General features: G+C 44.1%; 1 long non-coding RNA gene across 2 annotated transcripts; it reads right to left on the reverse strand.

The window, feature by feature from the left end:
• Positions 1-353: 353 nt before the first annotated feature.
• Positions 354-19,496, reverse strand: LOC124903050 (uncharacterized). 2 transcript variants are annotated; one of them, XR_007063522.1, is made up of 4 exons: positions 19,216-19,496; positions 6,123-6,275; positions 2,710-3,779; positions 354-1,667 (listed from the first exon to the last, which is right to left on the reverse strand). It is a non-coding gene; the product is annotated as an uncharacterized LOC124903050 (long non-coding RNA). The 2 variants fall into 2 exon arrangements; XR_007063523.1 differs by lacking the exon at positions 2,710-3,779.
• Between the last annotated feature and the right edge of the window lie 374 nt (positions 19,497-19,870).

Consider the following 19,870-nt stretch of genomic DNA (forward strand, 5'->3'; position numbering starts at 1 on the left):
GTTGCCAGTGCCCTGCTCAGGCAGAACACTTGGTGTGGAATCCTGTGTGTTTTTCTATTTCAAACACAAACAGGTGCCTGGCAACCGTCAGGGAGACTGGGAGAGGAGAGACCTATCCCTTCCATGGCCAAGGCACATGCAGAAATGAAAATATTTTAATGGCACTCAGGAAAATGGATGAGACTCTGAAGCTGGAAGCAACCACGCTTTAGGATTTAGCCACCCAAGGCTCAAGTGGCCTAACAAGAAAACGGCACCCAAAGTTAAGCCATGGCTGCTGCCTACCCTGTGTATGTGTTATCGGCCAAAGGGGATCACTGCCCAGTGCACTAGAGGCCAATACCAAGACACTGTTTTTTTTGAGAAAATATAAAAGCTTTTTATTGTACATCAACCAACAAGGAGACAGAAGTACAGCTCAAATCTGTCTTCCTGTGCTGGCTTTAAGGCAGTAATTTTATTAGAAAAGGTTTAGGGGTGGATTCTGGGGTTAGTAGGTAATTGGTAGAAGGAAAAGGGAGGTCTGGAAAGTCCTCAGCCTCACACAGTTATCTCTTCATACCTCCTCATGGGTCTCATGTGCAAATTTGGGGGTAGTTAGTATGAAACTTGTGTTGAAATTCAGGCTGTGACATCAGCAAGCTTGTTCTGTGCAGACTTTATTTGGCCACATTGGTTCCAACCAATTTCAGCCAGTTCTTTTTATCTCATAAGCAGAGGGAGTTTCAACATCTCCACACGTTGTTTCTTTTTTGTCTGTCATCTTATAAACTCAAGAATTGCAGTGAGTTACTAGTTTCTTTAACTCTGGGGCATGACATCACGTGGACTGTGCCAAGGCTTCTTGGGCAGGATGCTCTGTAGCTGAGATCACCCATGGCCACATCCTGGTCTCATTCTTCTTTCTCTCTTCAATTAAAATTGTTTTCCTGTAGCCCCAAGAGCCTACAAAGTTCACAGGAATCTTATGAGAACATGCCCCATTGTCTCATAGGACCAAGCCTTTGTCTGAGTAATGTACATGCTTGTTTGTGTATCTTTTGCCTCGTATTACAAAGTTTGTTCTTGAATTGCATGTGAGCCCCATGTAACCCTGTGAAACAGGAAGTGTTGGCCTCATTGGATCCAATTTTCAGAGGAGGCCCAAAGAATTTAACTGACTTACCAGAGGGCATCTAGCATGTCACCAAAGGAGCAAAGGTAGAAGGTGGCTCCTGAGCCCTCAGATTCAATGCTCACTTATTTCAATGCCTCATGTCACTCTGAAGCCATGAGGTAAACTGAGAAAGTGCAGCCTCTGGGCTCCCTGCATGGGCAGCACTAGTCTATGAGCATTCTGTAGCACAGGTGCAGCCATGACGAAGACGAATAGGGCAGGCGTGTGCTGCCCACAACACGGAGGAACAGAAGCCCTGCACTTCTTCAAAGAATCCTCATTTACTCACAGTCATTCAGCAAAGCAGCTCTCTTTGCTCCTCATAGGCAAAAATGTTTCTCCATTACAGTTTTATGGTTCATACATGGAAAGTATAAACCACAAAGAGGAAGGATAAATCAGGGCTGAGGGAGACAGAGATTCCAATTACCATTATTGATTTTTCACTGTATAGAAATATGGAGGGATTTAGTGTCCATATCTTCAGTTACTATGTCTCAAACCACTGCATCTGAAAAAAAAAAACACCAAAATGTGACATTCTGAATATTATCGCCATCCCAGAGATGAAACTTAGATCCCGTAACAGTTTGGTATAAAACACAAGCAGAATGCTATAGCCACAGCTCACCTCCTCATAACATATGTTACTCTTTGGAGAAAAACACTTGAATTAAGAAAGATTTTTCAGGATGAATTTTTTTAAAACCTGAGAAACTGAACAATTAGATTCAAATACGTGCAGTAAAGTTTTGGATCCAAACTTTGCTCCAAAGACAAGACTGTATGCTTACCATTTTCAAAAGAACGAGTAAAAAAATTTTAGAAAGTAATGGCTTAAGATGAGGTTATTTGTGGATGAATAATAATTCTGGAGCACTTGAGGCAGCTTCATTTGCATCTTGTCAGAAAATGTTCCCATCACGGCAGACAGAAACTCCTGGAGCTGCATTACCCATGCATCTGCCCATTCATAAAAGTGGGTTTCTATTCTCCAGGGGCCCTGTGTCATAGAAGGCGGGGAACAGACCCCTGGTGGAATGGGTGATGGTCATCTTTGGGACAGGAGATGATTTAGATACTTAGACAGTCACAGAATTATTTTAATCACAGAATAATTTCACATTAATTATCTTTGAGTCATTCTCATGGAAGTGTACCTTTTACCTTTAACCCTTGCCGATCTTCTCTCTCTTTCTTTCTCTTTCTTTCTGTCTTTCTCTCCCCTCCCTCCCTCCCTCCCTCCCTCCCTCCCTCCCTCCCTCCCTCCCTCCCTTCCTTCCTTCCTTCCTTCCTTCCTTCCTTCCTTCCTTCTTTCCTTCCTTTTCTTTCTTTCTTTTGAAACAGAGTCTTGCTCTATCACCCAGGCTGGAGTGCAGTGGCATGATCTCGGCTCACTGCAACCTCCGCCTCCCGGGCTCAAGTAACACTCCTGCCTCAGCCTCCCTAGTAGCTGAGATTACAGATGCCCTCCACCAGGCCCGGCTAATTTTTGTATTTTTCATAGAGGTGGGGTTTTGCCATCTTGACCAGGCTGGTGTCAAATTCCTGACCTCGGGTGATCCATAGGCCTCAGCCTCCCAAAGTGCTGCGGTTACAGGAGTGAGCCACTGCTCCTGGTCCCAGTCTTCTTCCATAGCAAAAGGACACAGGCCTCTGGCAGAGAGCTTTGACAAGAAACTAAATCTGGCTGGAATTCTTAAACATTTTGTTTTAATATGGTTTTGCATGTCTTCTGTTTGTGGCAAGTGATGGTGACCTTCTATTTAAAATAATAAAAAATGTGTCTTTTGAAATTATTTCAAGAAAACCTATGTCACTTTAAAGATGTGTTTGTGTGTGTTTGTGTTTTTGTGCATGCATGGGTACACAGATTAACAGCATGCGCTGTCAGACATGGCCAAACCTACGCAAGGGAGTGCTGGGTACTCAGAGTGATCTTGTGTTACGGGTACACAGGGGCTGGAGTGTGGGAAGTGCAGGCTGGCGAGGTGGGCATGAAGCGAAATGTACATGAGCTGCTGAGCTCACGTCACACAGGTGACAGCCTTGTGTCCACCATGTCCTCACTGGCCAGCTTGGCTAGCAGTAGCGGCCAGTCCACGTTTAGCGTCCCCCATTCCTCTTGGTTCTGAGGAGCTCCTAATTTTGTTAAATCAAATAATGTTTTCGTTGTTTCTGTACAGTTTGAACACGGCAGGTCAGTGCATTGGATTCAGGCCTCAGGCCTCCAGGCTGCAGCTCTGAGTATCCTTGTCCTTTTGACAGACAGCCGAATTACCTCTCTGGGGACCTTCCCCACACAGCCTCATTGCTCCACTGGCCGCAAACCTCTTCCCCAGCCTCATCAGACTTGATGATCCCGCCAGAAGGAAAGAGGGATGGGAATTCATTCACACAGAAAATGATGACTGATGAAGCTTAATCAGTGACCTCTCACTGGGGAAACCTGGATTAAAAGGATTTTCCTGGGCAACAATGCTCTGGAGTGCCTGCTCATAGCTCTCTTTCTCCTTCCTTCTGGTTGATGCAGCCAGCATCCTGTAATAATCGATGCTGGACACACAGCCACTTTCCCAGGCTCTTCATAGATGACATGGGACCCAATATGGGTCAATGGGACCTGCAAAGATATCAATGAGACCTTCTGTACAGCTTTTCCTGCTTACAAAAAGGGGCGTGAGAGAGGATGAAGACAAAAAACTTGCCATCTTATTGCCTTCGGATGTGAATGGGTGAGGATGTGATACTTGGAGTTCTGGCTGCCATATTGTGGCCATGAGAAGATAAGGTTAAGCCAGACGACATGCCGGAGGGTGCAGAGAAGAAAGAAAGAGCCTGGAGTCCTAGAAACATAGGAGAACTCCTGAGCCAACCCTAAGACCCCGGCTTTCAGCTTCTTGATATATGAGATATCTCCTCTTGTTTACAGTCTCCTAGTTGAATATTTTGTTACTTGATACTAATACAAAGTAGCACCGAGGAGCCCAAAGAAACAGGGATTCTGTGAAATTCTAATATCTGTGAAAGTCAGAGAAGAAGATACACCCAGAGGATCTCAGGTTGCATACTGCCTGTCCAGAGACCCCAAAATTTCAAAATGGGGAATACTGCCTATGTTGAGTAAGCCTGTAATGGTGGCTTTAGCATCACTGTTTTTTCTTTTTTCTTTTTTTTTTTTGGGACAGAGTCTCAATCTGTCACCCAGGCTGGAGTGCAATGGCGCGATCTCAGCTCACTGCAACCTCTGCCTCCTGGGTTCAAGCGATTCTCATGCCTCAGCCTTCCAAGTAGCTGGGATTACAGATGTGCGCCACCATGCCTGGCTACTTTTTGTATTTTTAGTAAAGACGGGGTTTCACCATATTGGCCAGGCTGGTCTTGAACTTCTGGCCTCAAGTGATCCCCCTGCCTCAGCCTCCCAAAGTGCTGGGATTACAGGCATGAGCCGCCGCACCGGGCCTCAACATCACTGTCTTATAATAACTTTACTCAATGTGATTCTTTTGAGTGCTGGTGTGTGTTCTTTTGAACCAAATTAAGATAATTGGACGAACACCTCTTATGCTTTTATTCAGGTAAGAACTGCTATGGAGTGAACAAATTCAATGAAACCACATTGCCAGATGGAGCAAAACCCATGGTGATGTGGGAATGAAGGGGTGTGGAAATCTGTCTGACTTCTTCACATCCTTTGCGAGAGGTGCAACCACCATCTGCCATGAGTTTATAAGGAAAATATGCAAGTGAAGCTTCGTTTTGTCAACCTGTAAATGGCCTGTAAAAGTTTCAAGCCCCTGTAGCCAACTGTGAGTACAAATAATCATTTTCCAGGTCAGAAACATCCACCCTTTCTCAGAACCCAGGCTGACAGCAAGCAAGTGAATGTAAACATTTTGTGAGAATGCCCTTCCCTCAGCAGAGGCTCCTACTGCACCTGCCATAGGCTAATGCGCCTGACAGAATGCTATCCCTCTTGGTTTCACTGCCTGGTAAAAGTAGAGATTGCAATAAACCATTGCTCCATGACAAACTAAGATATAATGGATGGAGATTAAATCACCAGATTTTAGGTGCCTGTAGTGCTTACAGCAGTGAGCACCCTCAAAATATGCAGATGGATGGCCAAAATGATGCACAGCCGACCCCAAGCCATGTGTCAGGAGAAGAGCTGATAGTCACCCTACAATGTGCCAGATGTGTGTGTTTGCTCCAATAGGGAGTTAAAAAGAACTCTCTCACTTCTTCCAAGCTGAGAACGGCAGGCCCCCAGCCACCAGGCATTCCACAGGAGGGAGCCTCCTTGCTTATCTTGGAGCAGCTCAGCAATAAAATAGCATGCGTTCATTATTCAAGTGAAAGTTTAATTAATTCAGAACTTGTTCCCACACCTTCCTAGACAGCTCCTGATAATGAGCTCTCTGGGCTTTTCTTCCTCCATCTTGTGATGTCACGCTAAATGGACTGCATCTAACAGCATCGATGGGATGAAAATGCATGAGTGCAGGGCAGTGGTTGACTCTGTGGATTCAGGACCTGCTGAAATATCACAACTCTCTCTCCCAATCCCAGGGCCTCTTCTCTCTCCTTGTTGGGGTGAAATTGGTGGTTTTTCACAAGAGTTTTGGAGGTGCGTGGGAAGACTCTCAACTCTAGGGAGTTTGAGGGTTTTAAAAAAAATTTGCATACTTACTCCAGCTAAAGCATTTCATGAATGGCATAGCCAGTGATGCTGAACTATCTATCGTCCTCAACCATACAGCATCACAGGGTCACTCTCCTCCACCAAGGGCAGCCAGGAACCATCCCCTTTTGAGTACTGAAGTGAGCAACAGTGCCCCTGTGGCCAGAGGGGTCCAGATCTTCCTCCAGCTCACAGTGCTGTTGCATGACCCTACCTGCTTTATTTCTCCACGTGTAAAATAATAAAGTTGAGGGCACCTGTCCTACCTGCTCCAAAGCGCACCTGAAGTGAGGTGGGTGAAGAAGCACCTGGCTCAGTGAGTCCCCATCTCTGACCCTCACCAGGTCCTCTTCGTGGTCACGAGCCTGGGACTGTGAATCCACAGAGAAGACAGAGCTCAGCTCAGCATGGCCGCAGCCCCACTGGGAGGGGACTCTGGTAGCAGGTGGGACAGAAGAGGAAACAGTGATCATAGTTTTGCAATTGTAACTTTGTTCATGATGCAGTGTCTTCTAGCTCCTCCCAAATCCAAGCACATCTGGTACACTGACTATCAAATTATATCAAACTGTAGCATGGGATCAAAACATAATGTTACTTCGTCTCTCCCTGCCTCTTTCAAATTTATGAATTGAGCATTTTCTCACTGTTTCTGTATAAAAACCCCAGAAGATTTGATGACCTTTTCCAAACTATTAGATAGTGGACACTCTCCTGGTCAATTGAGGTCATGAAAACAATCTCGGTTTTATAATCAAAATATTCTAAGATGGAGATCAAGACCCTGCTTTTTATCTAACTGCCATCCTTCTGCTTCTTCAACTTGGATCTGCAGCAGGCTCCCCTTCGTCCCTCAAACACACCAAGCTTGTTACTTCCTCAAAGCCTTTAGAGGATGTTAAGAAACAAACCTATTATTCCAGAAGCTAGTAGTAAGGTGTAAAAAACACGTGTTTGGCTGGGCACGGTGGCTCATGCCTGTAATCCCAGCACTTTGGGAGTCTGAGGCAGATGGATCACCTGAGGTCAGGAGTTTGAGACCAGCTTGACAAACACGGTGAAACCCCGTCTCTAATAAAAATACAAAAATTAGCCTGGCATGGTGGCGCACACCTGTAATCCCAGCTACTCAGGAGGCTGAGGCAGGAGAATTGCTTGAACCGAGGAGGTGGAGGTTGCAGTGAGCTGAGAATGCACCACTGCACTTCAGCCTGGGCAACAGAGCAAGACTCTGTCTCAAAAAAAAAATGTGCTTATCTCATATTTTCTGCATGAGCTATACTTCAGCATAGCCAAAGAGTTGGCCAGGCATTTTTTTAAAGACAAATTCTGCCTAAAATTATGAAGGAATTTTAGAAAACCATTACTTTTAAATCTCTGGCAAATATATATATGTATATTTATATATTTAATATATATAATATTATTATTATATATAATATATATAATAATATATTATATATATTATATATTATTATTAATATATATTTATTATTTAATAAATATATAAAATATAAAGATATATAGATATATAAAAAGATATATAAAGATATATATAAAGATATATATAATAATATATATAAATATATATAAAGATATATATATATAAAGATATATATATATAAAGATATATATATAAAGATATATATATATATATATATATATATATATATATATATCCATAGGTCATTAGGGTTTGTTAAACCATTAATAGCAGATGATGACTTTTCAATCACTGGATCAATTTGGCTATTACTGAACCCCCCTGACCAATCAGTATCAGTAAACAGGAGACAGCTTGAGTGTCACACTGTACTGCAATGGAAAGTAAATGCCAGCACCCAACGTGCTCTCACCATGCTAGCTGCTTCCATGTGTCAACTTGACTGGGCTAAGGAATGCCCAGATAGCCAGTAAAATACTATTCCTGCATATGTCTGTGAGTGTGTTTCTAGAAGAAAATATTATTTGAATCAGTGGGTTGCATAAAGATGACCCTCATCAATGTGTGCAGGCATCCTCCAATTCACTAAGGGTCCAAATAGAACAAAAGGGTGGAGGAAGGGCAGGCTTGTTCTTTCTGTTTGAGTTGGGACATCCACCTTCTACTCTGAGATGTTGGTACTCCACATGCCCAGGCCTCAGACTCAGACCAGAACTTATGCTATATCTGTATACAGATATAGATAGATATGTATGTGTGTACACACACACACATATATATACACACACATACACACAACCCATTAATGACAGTATGTGTGTGTGTGTATATATATACTCTCTTCCCATGTGCACACACACACACACACGTTATACACACACATGTTATTAATGAGTTGTCCAGTGTGGCTGCTCTGATGTGTATGGGGCTGCTCCAATGTGGCTGCTCATTAATGGGTTGTCCAGTGTGGCTGATCTGGTGTGTATGTGGCTGCCGCAATGAGGCAGCTCATTAATGGGTTGTCCAGTGTAGCTGCTCTGGTTCTCACATGCCTTACCCTCTCTAAGCTGAGGTTTCTGTACGCAGAATGTTCTGAGTTGGGTCTGGAGATCCTGCAAACAGGACACTAGGAAAGCTGAAGAAGGCCCAGGCTATCTGAAGCTGTCACCTCCCACCAAACCTCCCTCATCCAACCATGTCTTCTGGGGAAAACCTCAGACTCCCAGAGGCTAGACAATTCTGTGGCCCCCCTCAGTGCATCAGTACAGGATGCTTTGAGGCAGCCCCAAAAGACATCATGCCGGTAAGTAGTCTCCTTTCCCTTGAGTATCCTGGGAAACTGGGGGTTGGGACCCCAGCCCTTATTTCTCTGGATCCCCCAGGGTCTCCAGAAGAGAGCCACACCCATCCTAGAGATGTGTCTAGTCAACAGCTAGTAACTGGGGGGACGAGGCAAACCTCTGTGGGAGGGTTCATGGGGAGACAGTGCTCGGGAACAGTGTTGGGGCGTCTACGGAAAACTATGTTCCGATGGCCACACTCAGGGCCCTCTCCACCCCTCACTCCTCGGCACTCCCTCAAGAGCTCCTCTTCTGTTTTCTCGACTCCACCATTCCCAGTGTATTCATCTACATGAAGCCTCTGTCTGTCTTCCTGAACTCTGATTCTCTTCGTTCTAGTACCTGGAGGACCTAAGCCTCGTGTTTCAAGGATCCCATCACTGGGTTTGCCTTCCTTCCCTCGTTTTGTTTTCCAGCATCAAGCTTGGCTCACACCTGTGCTGATCTCCATCCATTCCAGCCTCAGGGTATTTGTGCTGTGATCATGGCTAGGCGGTCTCTTCCCCCTCTCCCACTCCCCACCCCCATCTCACACTCACCTTATCACTGATGCCTCTCATAGTCACACCTGAGATTCCACTCCATCATTCCACAAGTGCCTATGCAATCCTACCATCTCCTGATACTGTGCACCCAACACAGGGTTCTCCAGGAAGAGCCCAGGTGAGGATCCACAAAGCTGCTGCTTGATCCCTGAGCTGCATGCGTAGGATAGCAAAGATGAGGACAAATGCAAATGAGGCAAAGGAAGATGAGCCATGAGGCAGAGCGCTGTGTTACACACCAGCTCCCCCTGCAGGGCAAGCACAGAGAGGCAGCAGCCTGCTCAGCGGGCCATGCATGCACTTGGCACGCAGGATTTCTGTGGGGTGTGGCACCGCCCAGGGAAACCCTGGCTTAACCCTGGCTTAAGGAGGAGTGTTTGTGTGCCCATCTCTCATTTTCTTTTGAACAGAGTCCCTCCATTGGGACTGCATTTTTCTGCACTTTTGGTTCTTCTCATCCAGCCCCTCCAGTGATCTCTCAGGATGCAGAGCCCAGGCCTCTGCGAGGAGGTATTCCACCAGCAAGGAAGAGGCAGAGGTTCCAGAAACTCAGGTGTGCTTTATGCACACCTGAGAGGTGACCATAAAGGAGGCTCAGGGCTTCTAAGGGAAGTGGCTGGTTTTGCTCTCACAGTGACTGCGTCACCTTGGGAGGCGGGGGATGCAGGGTGCAGCCGCAGCCGTCTACACACTTGTGTCCAGAGCCCTGGGCCAGGCACTGTGCATTCCACGGGGCCCATCACAGCCCCTGCCTACATGGGTGGATTCTACTGCAGGCCTGCTAAAGTGTTGTCTTGCAAAACCTCATTGAACTCGTGCGGCAATCCTATGAATGATTCATATTAGTGTTCCCATTTTACAGATAAGAAAACTGAGCCTCCACGACATAAGGAGGTGCCAATTCAGGTACAGCATAGTGCTGCGGGGGATTAAGCTAAGGTTCACTAGAATTCAGTGCCCTCCAAACCAATTAGCCCTGCCTCCTGTGCACATGTATTTCATCAAGTTTGAGATCACACTGTGATCATTTCGCCTGAGTCCCTCAGGGTGAAAGTGCTGGTTCTGAGTGCCTGAACACTTAACATTTCTATGGGGACTGCAAAGTGACTTCCAAATGAATGTGTCAATTTGCACAATGAACATCAGTGTTTTGCTGGATTCTTAATGACAGTTCTCTCACTTGGCTTTGCCCCTCTGGGTGTTCATTTGTAGCATTTCACACACACACACACACACACATACACACACACACACTAAAATCAAAGTGGGCAAGGCATTGCTATCAAAACATGAAACAGTCCATTCAGCCCCGGCCTTCCAAGCACCTTAAATGCCTGAACCCCGCATCCAGCACAGGATGGCCTCCAAGCCTGTGTCCCTGCTTGGCTTCAGGAGGCCGCACTCCCCGCCCTGCAGTGCCTGAGACTGGGCCTGTCACTTTCTGTAAATGCTTGTGCAGTACACAGTCCCTTTTCTGGATTGTGGAACTGCACCCTGGCTCTGTCTCCCTCTCTCTGCCTGCACTCCTCCTGTAGCCTGGATCAGTCTGGACAGCTTCCAAACACGCCCCCTGTGTCCAATCTGGCTCCTATAACATAAGCCACAAGGCATCCAAAGTGGTGATTTTAAAACTTAAATAAGGTCATAACATTTCCCTAATAAAAACCCACAAATGACATCCCAATGGACTGAGAATAAATGCCAAGCCCTCACCTCTCGCTTCTCCTACCTGGCCCTGTGTGTGCTGGCTGTTCATGACCACCTGGCTGCTTCGACCACTTCCCCTTGTGTGTCTTCTCCAGCCATGCCGACTTTCTTTCCCTTCTTCAAACACACTTCACTAGTCCCTACCCTCAACTTCAGGGGCTTCTCTGACATTTTCTGTCCCCCTCTGCTTAGAACACTCTTCCCTAAATTTATTTACGTTGTCAAAGGAGTAGGATGAGATAATGACTGATAGTACTGGACAGTCACCATAGTCCAGACACTGATAGATGTGTTTAGTGCTATGAACTCATCTATTCTCCACAATGATTCTTTGGGTTTGGTGCTATCGTGATCAATGCTTAACAAACGAGGAAACTGGAGCCTAGCGAAGCAACTTGCCTAGTCACACAGCTCTTGGTGATAGAAGGACGACACAGGCCTCAGCTCTGTATTAAATGAGAGTGCAAAAAGAAAGGCCTCTAGTCAAGCTCTGGGGCTATAGAATAGTTCTATGCTGTCCAGTGGAGAAAGAAGGACAAAGAAGGCTGTGAATGAACAGACAGGAGTAGCAGCAGAGCTTCCATGAGGGAGGCAGCGGTCACCTAGATTGAGGTCTGCTGAAAAAGCAATTGTATCTTCAGTTATCTGAGCAACATATGGGTCCCTGGTGACTTTATCATAACTGTATCAGCAACTGGCCGGACTAGCCAGGCTGCTGTGGGGTGAAGAATAATGAGAGGTGAGGAAATGATAACCTCAAATGCAGAAGTCTCTTCTGGAATGCTTTCCTCTAAAAAGGATCAGAGAGACTGTTTGAAGATGGAAAGGAATGTTCTGAGTTGGGTCTGGAGATCCTGCAGACAGGACACTGGGAAAGGTGGGCCCCATCCCAGACATGGCAATGGAACCCAGTTCTATGTAGGAAATGATTGCATCTGTTTTCATGGGGGTGACTGTGAACCTCACAGCAGTACAAGGAGGATTAATTAAGATATTAAGTCAGAAATTACAGATGCATAATACCTGGAATTATGGCTCAGTACATAATGACTCCAGCCCTATCTCTGTAACTCACAACACTGTATTTGAATGTATCTGGACAGATCCTGGAGGTAACTGTAGAAATGCCCTAGATGACTTTCTTTTTTTTTTTTTTTTTTTTTTTTTTTTGAGACTGAATCTTGCTCTGTTACGCAGGCTGGAGTGCAGTGGTGTGATCTCAGCTCACTGTAACCTCCGCCTCCCGGGTTCAAGTGATTCTCCTGCCTTAGCCTCCGCAGTAGCTGGGATTACAGGCACCCGCCACCATGCCCAGCTAATTTTTGTATTTTTAGTAGAGACGGAGTTTCACTATGTTGGCCGGACTTGTCTCGAACTCCTGATCTCACCATGATTTAGTCACTTTGATTTTTTAAAGCTTTATGTATAATAATGAAACATACACATAAGGTAGAAATGACCCAATCCATCGGTAGTTGAATTAACACGCTGAGATACATGCATGTAATTTAATTCGTCAGTAAGAAATCAGCAGAGCACTAATGTACTCGATAGCTGGACCTCAAAAGCATTGTGTTGCCTGAAAGAAGCCAGACACGAAAGGTTAAGTGGCGTTTGACCTCAATAACATGGAGTTCCAGAACAGGCAAAGGCAATCTATGAAAGTGAGGAAATCTGATCATTGCCTGTGGAGTCAGGTGTGAAGGGCGAGAGGGAACTAGTGGGTCATTGTGAAGGGCGAGAGGGAACTAGCGGAGCAGATGGAAATGTGCTAGACTTTCAATGGAGCAATAGTTACACCGACACATGCATTTGTCCAAACCCATCCACCTGTATACTCAAGCTGGACACTTTATCCTATTTAAATTACATCTTAACAAAGTTGACATCTTGTCTTTTTCATTAATTAGCAAAAAGAAATTCCAGGGGCCATATTTTCTCTGTATTTTAAGTCATGCCTCTGCTGCAATATAGTTTCCGCCTTCACACTGGAGCTTTGCTTGCCTATAGTGATTGTAAGTACTCCTGTCAGAAACCAAGCCTGTCGGCCAGGTGGTCGTCAGTATTCGGAATATTTGATTGGCTTCATCTGTCTTGTAGTTTCTGGATCTTCACCATCTGCACAATGGGTTCATTTTTGATGGGAACCTATTTTGCAACAACTGGAGTCTTTTCCTCATTATAAACAAGAGATAAGCCAACATTATTGACCCAGATGAATAGTAAACAGAAAGCAGGGGGTGAAGGGAGCTGTGACTGTCCTGTATCCAGCTGTAGAGGCTCTGTCCACATAGGGTCAGATGGGATGGCTGAATGGTTCTGCATCCCGGATGGCTCACTCACATAGTGGGCAAGTTAGTGCTGGCTCTTTCTGGGAGCTCAGACTGGACACTGGCCGGGGGCCACTTCCTCTTCACATGGGTCTCTCCACTGTCTTCCTCGTGACATGACACCTGCATTTCAAGAGCAGGGATATCAAGTTCCCTTTGGTTTTGAACAACTGGGGATCTGAGAGGAAACTTCATATGAAGAGAGACAGAGAGAAAGGTGCCACCTTGGCAATGGATGAAATTGTAACAACCCAGGGATAAATTGCTAATTCACTATTCTCTCATCACTGCTTTTGCTTCCACTTTAATCTATGATTTGTGAATGGAATTAATAGAAACCGACCAAACATGGCTATGCACACGATGTTTGGCCACAAATATTTTCCACATTAATTCTCTTAGTATCATCAGAACAGAGGAAAAGCCCTGGTCATCAGTTCTGTGTTGTGAGTACTAACAAGCATGCAGTTTTGCCAGTAAAATGGACAACTGTGGAGACAGGCAGAAAGGAAGCTTAGAGTCTCCGTACATCATTTTCTTACACTGAAAAACAGAAAATAAAATATTTTGCAGTATTAGATTGTTTCACAAAGCATAGATGCCTTGGGAGAAAACAGTCCGAGAGAGGGAGACAGAGTTTCCACAGTCTTCAGTTTTGCTGTACATTGCTTTGGATGTCTGTAAGTGAGGGCTTCCACAAACATTTTTTGCAAAGATCCATGGAATAAGTTTAGACTCTGTGGGCTGCAGGGTGTCTGTTACAATTCCCTACCTCTGCTGCTCTAGAATGTAAGCAGCCACGAACAAATGCAAGTGGTTCAGCTCCACAAAGACTTTATTAACAAATAGCAAAACAGCAAACTGGATTTAGCCGTAGGCTGTAGTTGACCAACTTTTGCTCTGAATAATTACCTTGTAATCTTGAGGTCCAAATATGGGGATTTGCACCTGGTTCAGAAGCAGTGTACCCAAATGTGCACCCCTTTCAGGGGATTTCAGTGTATTTGGAGAGGGGGGAAGTTCTTTTTTTTTGTTTTTTTCTATAACCTCATGTAGAAATTCTACAGCCTCAACGGCTAGATCCTATTTGGAGTCCTAATCTCCCACTGCCTTTGCAAAGTGATGCCATGCTAGCTATCATCTCTCTGCATTTCCAGCACCCTTGTCTGTAACAGAGAGTCAATAACGGCACTTACCAAAGGGCTGCTGGAAAGATTGCACACCACGTATGCAGCCGAGGGTCCAGCACACACAAGATGCTCAAAAAACACTGCTGTTGTATTATACTTATTGCTATCCTGTTTCCGTCTGTCAATCCACATACCTGCTCAGTAACTCTCTGCTGCAAACAGAAAGCAGAACCCAGATATTCCCATTGGTTTATCACTTCAGGGCAGTTGTGAGCAGAATCAGGGTCCAGATCATACAATCATGAAGGCCTACATTTAGTTTTTTAGATTAAAAAAAGTTTTCTTCAAGCTAGGTTAGATGTCCGGATATATTCAGACTTATCTTACCACTTACATTTCTAATTGCATTTTTCATCAATAAAGTGCATTGCTTTATTGATGAAAATTCCTTAATTTTCCCTTACATGAAAACATCTTTATTTTTTTCTTATTTCTGAAGTATACTTTCACTGAGAGTCTAACTTTGAATTGAAGGTATTTTTGTTTGTTTTTATTTTTGTTTTTAGAGGCAGGGTCTCAGTCGGTCTCTCAGGCTGGAGTGCAGTGGTATACTCATAGCTCACTGCAGCCTCAACCTACCAGGCTCAAGTGATCATTCTTCCTCAGCTTGCCAAGGTATCGGGACCACAGGCATGAACCACGACATTCAGTCTGTTTTTCCTTTGTTTTGCTTCCTCCTCGTCATCACTTTAACAGGGTCTTTCCACTGTCTTCTGGCTGCCATGGTTTCTGAGGAGAAATCTGCCATCAGTCACATCATACTTTATCCAATGTGTCATTTTCTCTGGCTACTTTCTTGATTGATTGTCTCTTTGTCTTTGGTATTCAGCAGTTTTAAGATGATGTGTTTGGGTGAGGTTTTCTTTAAATTCATTCTACTTAAAGTCCTGGAATCTATGAATTCATTTCTATTAACAAATATAAGACATTTTGGCCATGAGTTTTTCAGCAGTTTTGTTCTGGCTTAGTTTACATCTCTAGTCCTTCTATGACTCCAATTATGCACATTTCAAAACTGTTGATATTGCCCCATAGGTCATGAGGCTCTATTGATTTCATAAAATATATTCTTTGTTTTTCTCTGTACTTCACACTGGATTTTATTTTATATTCATTGACTTTTCTTCTGTCATCTCTATTCTTCTATTGAGCACATTTACTGAATATTTAATTTCAGATATTGTATTTTCAGTTCAAATTTTTCTTGTAGGATTTTTTTCCTATTTGCTGAGAAATAGAAGGTGCTGAAACCATCCATATGATGGTATCTGCCTGGGCTTTGGAGCTCCTAAAACACCCTCATTGTCATCTGATTCTCTGAGGAAGAGCGTGCAGAGACACGCCAAATAAGGCACTGGGTTAAAGAACCAGCATGGGACAAGCTTGGAGGCGTCTCTTGCCAGGGAAACTCTGCCATAGACTTGAGCCTAGTATAGAGCAAGGAGGGAAAAGAAATACCACCCTTGACAGTTCCCGAGAGTACCTTCTGCTGTGAATGATTTCAACAGTCCTGTTGTTGCTGGGGAGAGCAGAGATCCCAGTTCTTGTCTAACCTGGAAGAAAGCATTCTGCCAAGCGACTGATTTAGCCACAAAGAGAACATATTGAAGGAAAATAGAGAGCAGAGAGCTTATTTAGAGGGAGACAGTACACTCTGGAAGGATATGGCAGAGTGGGCTGCTGAAGTGAGGGTGCCAGCAGCAGCGTGAGAGTTCTGTGTTGGGGTTTTATGTCTGTTGGGTTCTTTTTTTTCTTTTTTTTGGAGACAAAGTCTCACTCTGTCTCCCAAGCTGGAATGCAGTCATCTCAGCTCACTGCAACCTCTACTTCCTGGGTTCAAGCAATTCTCCTGCCTCAGCCTCCTGAGTAGCTGGGACAACAGGCATGCACCACCATGCCAGGCTAATTTTTGTATTTTGAGTAGAGATGGGGTTTCACCATGTTGGCCAGGCTGGTCTCAAACTCCTGACCTCAGGTGATCCACCCGCCTCGGCCTCCCAAAGTGCTGGGATTACAGGCGTAAGCCACCATGCCTGGCCAATGGGAATCTGTTTTGAAGTAACTGCCTCTGTCTTAAGTTTCTGCCTCTTTGTCTAGTTTTCCTGCACCTGCCTTAAGTCCCTGCCTTTTCCCCACCTCATTCCCTCCCCAGGCTGGTGGGACCCTTCCTTGCTGTTAATTGGTGTGGCATGTGTGGCAATACTGAACAGGAATCCTACCTAACCGCTGCATTGCTCATGACTGCCACCCCACAAAGGTCATATAATGGTTCAATCTGTACCTATTGCACCTGCATTCTCGCCTTGGAATTCCTGTCTCTGTTTTAATTTGGACTTTGGCACCAGGTTTTTTCTGAGGACTTTCTTGTTTTCCTTCTTATCAGCATGCATCTGGCTGTGTTCTGACAAGTTAACTGCAGAGTGGGTGAATACTGGGCACCTGAACAGACGTTCCTTTCTGCCTAGGTATTTCCCCTCCTCTCTGCTTTTATCTACCATACCTGCTTCGGGTGGTCCCTGGGACATGAGATTTTCCAGACCTCCCTTTTTTAGGGGCTCCCCTCTCCTGCTTCTGTCTGGATACCTGCCGCCTCTAACACTGTGATCTTTGCAGAGACGTCAGGATGTCTTGGTGACTGACAGATCTGATAGGATTTCAGCTCATTCCTTCTCTGAGTGAATGTGGGCAAGCAGAAAATCTGCCTCTCGAAATCCCGGTTCCCTCCACTTCTAAACATGCAGATAATGAAAAAGCCTGTTTCACGCGATTGAGATGAAGATTAAAATGTTGATAATTCTACTGAATTGGCACGTGTGTTTGCACATGTGCATATCTGTACACACACAGAGAGAAATTCATGGGTCAGACTCTGCTCCCAAGGAGAAACGTGCAATTTCCACAGAAAATCTTTGCATGGCAAATAATCCTGAACTACATTCTATTATTTGCTCACATTTAAATCTGGCTGTTTACCCAATTATCCATGTCTGATATTGGGCTATAGCTCTGAGCCAAAGAAGACTGTTTTCAACCACTTTGATTTTCACCCAGCAGTAACAAGCGGCATGCTGTGGTGGGCTGGATTCTAAGTTGCCCTCAAGAATGACACAAGCTTAAACCACAGGTAGCAAAGGGAATTTCTTCTTTCCCTGAGACCTAATTCATTACCCTATATCATTGCAACTTGATTAGTATTTACCCAATAGAATGAAAGTGTGTTGATTTCTGAATCACTAAAAGCTGATGTCATTAAATTAGGCATGATACTTAAAACATTAAATTCATTATCATCTAGCGTCTTATATTTATAAAGTATAACTAAGGATATATTTGCATGTGTAAAGAATCTGTCACTATTAGTTCTCTATGCCAGGAAAGGCAGCTGTCTTATTATTTCTGAGCCTGAACATTAAGACAGTAGGGCAAGGGGAAGAGAGGAAAGAATAAATGGAACATTTCTGCCTGCTTAATGCCAGAGAAATATATAAAGTGGTGAATACATGGGTAGCCTAACAAGGAAGAAACACACATCCATCACTTGGGATGCATTTTTAATCTTGGAGTGGCTTTAAGAAGTTCACCCTCTCTGCTGCCAATTCAGGCAATAGATTAAAGGTCACTTTAAAATGCCTCAACGTTAACGGCAATCATTGCAGAAATGCCAAATATCATTATCTGACTGCAAAATTACCTAGCTGGAATTGCTACATTATTTCTCTAGATAATGCCCTCCAAATGTTTTTGATTGTTTATACCTGACAATAAAGAACTACTTCTGTATGCATCTGTGATATGGAGGCCATTACACCAGCTTGCCAAATATTTTCAGATTTCCCTCTTCTTGGGCACACAGTAGAAACATAATTCTAGGTCTTGTCTTTGAGCGAAGCCATTAGCTAGTTCTGGCCAATGAGTGTGGGCAAACATGGCATGTGCTGTCAGGAAGGGGGACCCACAGTGGGCAGGCAACACTCACAACTGCATTTATCACAGCTGCTCCTTACAGCATGGTCCAAGCCATCACTATCAGACCCTCACTCAGAGCTCTTGACCTCATCACCACCAGCTCCCCTGGTGCTAACTCTGGGACAGTCATCATTTAAGGCATTGGGTGCATGCTGTCCTTATTGCTCTACCCCAAATAGGTCAGGCACACTCCTTGATTAGGGCCTTTACTTTTGCTGCTATCTCAACCTGGGATATTCCTTTCCCCCAGGACCCAAGCCCTCCAAGCTCATTTCTTTTAGGTTCAAGCTCAAACATCAGCTTATCCATGAGACCCATGCTTATATTGTCTTTTCAAATAACAGTTGCCACTAATAGGTACTCGCTATGCACCTTCTGTGTTATTTTCCCCATAATACTTTAACCTACCTGACCAGCTATATTCTCCTTCATTGGTTCTTTGCATTCTTGTCCCCTTCCCCCTCGCCCCACACACCTGCCCCATCCCACACATACACATAATATTATATAAGCTCCTTGGGAGCAGGAACTGTGCGTGCTATTTTAACATCATATTCCCAATGTCTAAAACAATGACTGTCCCAGAGTTGGCACTCAAAAACGTTTGTTAATGAGCTTAATACAATATGTTACGTTAGGGTTTTTGTTAAATAAGTACAATGCAGCTGCTCTCGTCACAGAAAAACTAACTGTGAGATAAGAGATATGTTCACAGACTTCACTCTAGAAACCATTTTACTCTCTGTATATATCCCACAGCATCATGTTGCAAACCTGTAAACCTCAAATGTACCCAATAAAATTTATTTAAAAATATTTGTTTAGAGGAAGAATGAGTAAATACAACACTTACCGAACTCATATGCAGATAGGACTATCTGGCCTCCCTTTCTCTGCCCAAATATGTATCTGAAGATGACCCAGAAGCAATGTTCTACACCTTCATGTGAATTTCTGTTGCTTTACTCACATCATCTCCTCTAAGAGGCAAGTGGAGTTGGTCAATGTCAAAGAAATTGCATCCTTCATGAGATTCTAGGAGTCTGAGGCATAAGAAACAGCTTCCTAAAAGCATTTTGGAAAAAATAAGGCTTTTGTTATTGTTGTTGTTGCTGTTATTGTTTTTTATTTCTTTTTCCTCTGGCCACCTTGTGTGGTCCTGTCTGCAGATTATAACAATAAACACTGGCATTGTTAATGTCAGCTGAGGGGTCCACACTCCAACGTGGGAGCAAAACAAGCTTCCATTTGTGAGCCATGCCCATTTTGGCCCAAACAGTCATGTATTATAGCAGCAATCTCACCAGATTGTGGATAGTTTGAAGTTGCAAAAAGCTTAAAGCCACTTTTATATAATTTGCCAATTTTCTCCCATTTTATTTCCTCTATTTTCTGATGAGAAATCAATCTTCTCTAAAGAAAACAAATACATTATGTTTTACTATGAAGTCAAGGTCTTAGGTTATTCTCTCAACTTGAGGTATTTGTTGTTTGGATTTTTTTAAAAA

This window comes from Homo sapiens, chromosome 12 (genome assembly GCF_000001405.40).
Source record: "Homo sapiens chromosome 12, GRCh38.p14 Primary Assembly".
In the NCBI taxonomy this organism is placed as follows: domain Eukaryota; kingdom Metazoa; phylum Chordata; class Mammalia; order Primates; family Hominidae; genus Homo; species Homo sapiens.